The following is a 6000-nucleotide window of genomic DNA, read 5'->3' on the forward strand; positions in this document are numbered from 1 at the left end:
AATGATTACAATATGATTCTTCACCCATTTTTATATATTCAATTTTTTTTTTGAAACTTTCAGAAAACAAAACATCGCAGGACAATACAATAAAGTAACAAATGATTTAGCCTTTGCTTTGCCAAGACCAGCAAGATCTTCCCTCTATGCACCAAAGCAATAGAATGCATTGCACTGACGGAGAAATTGAATTTGGAGAATAATCTAGGAAAAAGATATCCAATGACATAATGAATTATATTGGGGTGGGACACCTCTAGATATAACTGCAAAATCTGATTAAATAATGGTATTCAACTTCCAACTAATACAAATGTTTTTCTCATAAGAATATTTTTAATTTATTTTAATATTACAACTTCTCTCTAAGTGTTTTGCTTACTTATTTGATAATTATTCATATCTAGCAGCTATAAGCCCAAGAAAATTTTACCTCTAACTCTGGTTCATTTAATTCATGAAAGTCCTACTATTTTACAGTGAACATCACCTATAATTCCACTGTAAGTACTGTTTTATTATTAGGGTAACATACACCCTTAGAAAACACCAAGTTTTAGAATTCCTTCCATGGAAGTAAGAGCTGGGTTTAGGAAAGAGCTTGGAATCACCACAAAGGCAGCAAATATGCTTAAAGAATCCATGATTTTCCAAATGAACAGTCATTCGATAGCAGCTTCCTTCTCTCAGATGTGGGTAGTCATTAAAAATCCATTAAAAAATCAGCCTACATAGATTGTGATTTTCTTTTAGAACAGGAACTCAGTATTCACCAAGAGGAAGCAAATATGAAGGCAAGGTGGGAAAGCTAAGAGAATACATGAATATCCATGTAACAAGCATGGATATTCATTTAACTACTAATCATAGGTGGAATAGGATCAATAAACAAAAATCATGGGTTAGGGACTTAGATACACAAGTTTAAATCTCAGCTCTGTGTAAACTTGAAAAAGTATGTGACGTCTCATTTGTATTTGAACACATATGAGGGTGTGAGGGACTGATTGCCGTCTCTGGCAAATACATGCTCAAAAATTCTAAGCAGAGTGACCATGGTGATGATGGCAGCTGTGGTGATGGTAAAGAAAATGAGTTGGAGACTACTGAACCATTAATCTGCTCCCAAACGATTCTGTTCTCAAAGCTCAAAGTCATGACCAACATGACATATCAGATTTTGATAACAGAATTCCACTTTGACTTGTCAATTCATTTAGCACCACCATGGTATGCACCCCTGCCATTCTTGTTCATCTTATACAATGAAGTTCTTTCTATAATATTTTATTGAACTCTCATTTTTATAACTATTTGGTTTTTCTTTTATCGTCCTCATACTCTTCCCTCCAATATTTCAAATTTAATTTATGAAATGGTAACATCATATAAAACAAATTCAACTCATATTCTCAATCACATTCAGAATGCCCACTCCACTCTTGGCACCTCCAACTTACATAAAACTTAGCTTACACTTAAAACTAACTAGAGGGAAATATTTTAACCATGACAATTTTTTAAAGTGGAAGAAAGGGATAAATATTTAACATTTTTTCTTCATGTAGAAAACTAAAATTCTATAGCAAGTGGCCTGAACCATATATCTAAACATTTAGGATATCTCAACAACACAAAGTGACTTTGTTACTAGACAAATTATTTAGGGAGCATAAGATGATTGGCCAAGATTTAGGTAGATTATTCTGTGTAATGAAAGAGGGCATCAACTTAGGAGAAATAAAGGGAGTATCAATATATTGTGCAAAATGTTGAAAGAAACATACATATAGTTGCAGTAGGCAAAGCCTTATAGCATAGAGACATTTGAGATGATCTCTAGATTTGGAGGTGGCAGTTTCTCTGGACTTCTGTTCCTCAAAAAACTGTGAATGCTTTGTCACATTTTCTTATAGGTGAGTAGAAATAGGCAAAATGTGGTAAGGAAACCTTCCTGGTTAGGAAAAAATGAAAGTCAGATCTGTTTACTACTAACAGAACTAGCTTATCTAAAATCATGGGATGAATAACTTAAATGGGAATGCACCATGTAATGCCTAGAAATCTAAGAGAAGTGTTAAGAATTCAAGTGCTAGGAAAAAAAAAACTGAAAGAATACATTATTTCCTATTAGGCAAATACTAATCTTGAAAAACATCTGATACCTTTTGAAAATATATTAGACTCATAATTCTGCAGATGACCCTTGGCAAAATAGTTTAATCATTGGATATAATTCAGGGTCCCCAGTATATAAAACAATATCTATAATTAATTAATTAATTATGTTTTTATGTATGTATTTTGAGAATAAGTCTCACTCTGTTAGCCAGGCTGGAGTGCAGTAGCACAATCTCAGCTCACTACAACCTCTGTTCACTACAACCTCCACCTCCCGGGTTCAAATGATTCTCCTACCTCAGCCTCCTGAGTAGCTGGTACTACAGGCATGCACCACCACACTCGGCTAACTTTTGTATTTGTTTTTAGTAGGGATGGGGTTTCACCATGTTGGTTCAGGCTGATCTTGAATTCCTGACCTCAAGTGATCTGCCCACCTCAGCCTCCAAAAGGGCTCGATTACAGGCGTAAGCCACCGCACCTGGCCCAAGATCTATATTTTGTTAACTTATTGTACTCAAAGTACAGCATTATCTAAACAAATCAGCTAGAAATGTATTGTAATCTAAATGATAATCAGATCCTACTTACAATGCAGAAAAGTACCCTTTTGTTTCCTAAGCCATGCACTTAGAGAGGTTAATATGTTGGCACATTTTGGGTAGTTAGCCTGAATGATATTTATACAGAAGGGGTAATTCCCTTAAATGAGCATTGTACAAAATGATATTACATTTAAAAGGTAATAACAATTTCATGGAAAATTGCTTTCCAAAATACACAGAGAACCAACAATAATATGTTTCAAGTGCACAAATTACCTAAGTTGTCTCCAGTAGCATTTTAGATACATTTGAAAAGAGGCATTTGTTTGCTTACAATATTAAATATCCTATTAAATCGCTGACACCTAGTAGACAAATATTATCATCAGAAGCAATGGTAAAAATTTTAGGAGATTATTTCCAACTGCCATGAGAGAAAAGCAGCAGAAAAACTGCTCATTTTTTTTCCAAGAAGAAAATTGAAGTTACAAAAATCAAAGTAACCTGACTAAAAAGTATATTACCTGGAAAGTTTGACTTTGGAGTTTCCATTGTTTCTTAGCACCGTTTTATTATAGGTATATGGACAAATAGGTTCCTTAGTCTAAAATAGCAAATGAAATCTGTCATATCTGTGGAGGTTCATGCTGATGCTTACCTAGAAAAAAGTTGTCTTCTGAGAATAAGGTATTCAGAAGCCTGTCCACCCATCCACATATTTAGAATGAGGAGCCCCGGATAAGCAGGAAGAGCTAATGCTTTTCTTGTAGTGAAGACATAGAGGGTTTCCCCAGGAGGATTTTATCAGTATAGCATGGACTAAGGATAAGCAGTTATACTTCCTCAAGAATTTTCTGAGAGAACTTATCCCAGGAGAGACAAATGGTTCCTCTTGGAAGTAAAAACCTTAGCTATGGACTGTAATATATTGGTAGGAAAATAAATTGTTACTAAATTTACTTTCAGTAGATTTCATTGTCAATGTATATTAAAGCCATAAAATACTATATTTAACTTCAATGTAAAAGTATTTGAAAAGTCACAAAAGAAGTGTATCATTTGGATACAAGATACCACTCAGAGAATTTATCTAAGATGGTTAATAGTAGATGTGCATATTTATGCACAAGGATACTCACTGTAGCGTAGTTTATATGAGAAAAATGTTGGAACTAACCAAAGTGGTCAACAAATGATGATTTGCTAAATACTTTATCATTAATAATTCTAGTTTAGATACACATTAATAGACACATGAAGTTTTTTCACTATATACTAGGTTTAAGGAAGCAGTTCATAAAATATTATTAATGTGACCACTTTTACAAAAATATTCTTTTATATGCATAGAAAAAACTGCAATATTTACAGCAAAAGTGTTTAAATCTGGATTTTGAGGTTGCAAACAATGACAATTCTACTATCTTCATTATCTATTTTGATTGCAATAAAATATGTATTACTTGCAAAAATAAGATAACATTTAATGAAAAAGACGAATCACATCAACTTCTTCAATATTAAATGAAAGTTAATAATATCAGGACAGGAGATACAAGAATGTTCGAAATGAAACGCAAAGCAATGTAGGAAAGATACTCACCACATCTAAAAAATGCAAAATACTCATATATTGAATATTTAAATAACTTAAATGAATGGCAGACAGCATAATAGAAAATGACAAGAAATTTCAATATGTCTTTTATATGCACACAAAATAAAACCATATATGAATAGCCAAAACACAAAATAAAAGTTGATGAACTCATTAGTTTTGCTTGAAATGCAAATTAAAATGACTAAAGGGGGTTTCCACTTTCTATAATATCAACATTAAACAAAACTGCCATCAGATAAAAGTTATAAACTCTGGAGAAATACATAGATATGAAAAAAGAAATATGAAAACACTAAAAAACAATGAAGAGCAGACATCGCCAGGAGAGTAGCTCACAGGAAAGGGAATAACACAGGTGAATTTGTAATTTTTCTTGGTTTTTCATCTGAGGACAGCCAATGCTAAACTGACTCAAACTTAGATACAAACAGGTATTATTACTGACCAAAGAATCAATGGACAGTTTTAGAGGACAGCACAGATGCTGAAAACTTAAGAAATCTCAGAAAGGACAGACCCAAAGAAGGGAAGCTCCAAATTCTGCATATAAACTATACAAATCACTGGCTGATCTCCAAACTCCACATGTGTGGGGCAGAATCCAATAATGAAAAATCTGAATAAAGATTTCAGATGCTCCCCAGAGCAGGAGAGACAGAGTTTGGAGTTTCGCTGCAGCTGAGTTAAGTGCCCATTAAAGCAAAAAAGTAATACTTTTCAGAGTCATAACAGAATCCAAAATCACTAACACATAATTCATAATGTCCATGGTACAATTCAAAACTATTAGACCTACAAAGGTATAAGAAAATGTAGTCATTCTATAAGAGAAAAATAAAACCATAAGAAGCAGCTTTTAGGTGAGGAAGATGTTTGAATTAGTACATACAGATTTTAAAGCAACAAATACATTCCTGTTCAAAGACTTTTATATACATATATATAAAATATACATTATGTATATAATACATAATATATATAATATATATCATATATTATATATGATATATATTATGTATATAATACATATTATATATAATAAATATTTATTATATATGATATATATTATGTATATAATACATATTATATATAATAAATATATATTATATTATATATAATAAATATATATTATATTATATATAATATATATTTATATATAAATATATTATATATAAATATATATTATATATAAAATATTTATATATTATATATAAATATATATTATATATAAATATTTATATATTATATATAAATATTTATATATTATATATAAATATTTATATATTATATATAAAATATATTATATATATTATATATATTATATATTATATATAATATATTTAATATATAATATATAAACATATATTATATATAATATATAAACATATATAAATATATTTATATATAATAGATAAAAATATATATAATATATATAACATATATAATACATAATATATATAAAATATATATTATATATATAATATATATATATTTGCCAACCAAGAAATCTCAGCAGGGAGGGAAAAACTGTATAAATAAACCAAATGCAAATTCTAAAGCTGAAAATTACAGGGGAAAAAAAGGTTAAAAAATAAATAGAGCCTAAGTGATGTGTGAAGCAATATCAAATGGTATAAGGTATGTGTAATGGGAGACCCACAAGGACAGTAGAGAGAGACTCAAAAGAAAAAAAAATAACTACTAATAAAAAGG

Source organism: Homo sapiens, chromosome 2 (assembly GCF_000001405.40).
Source record: "Homo sapiens chromosome 2, GRCh38.p14 Primary Assembly".
In the NCBI taxonomy this organism is placed as follows: domain Eukaryota; kingdom Metazoa; phylum Chordata; class Mammalia; order Primates; family Hominidae; genus Homo; species Homo sapiens.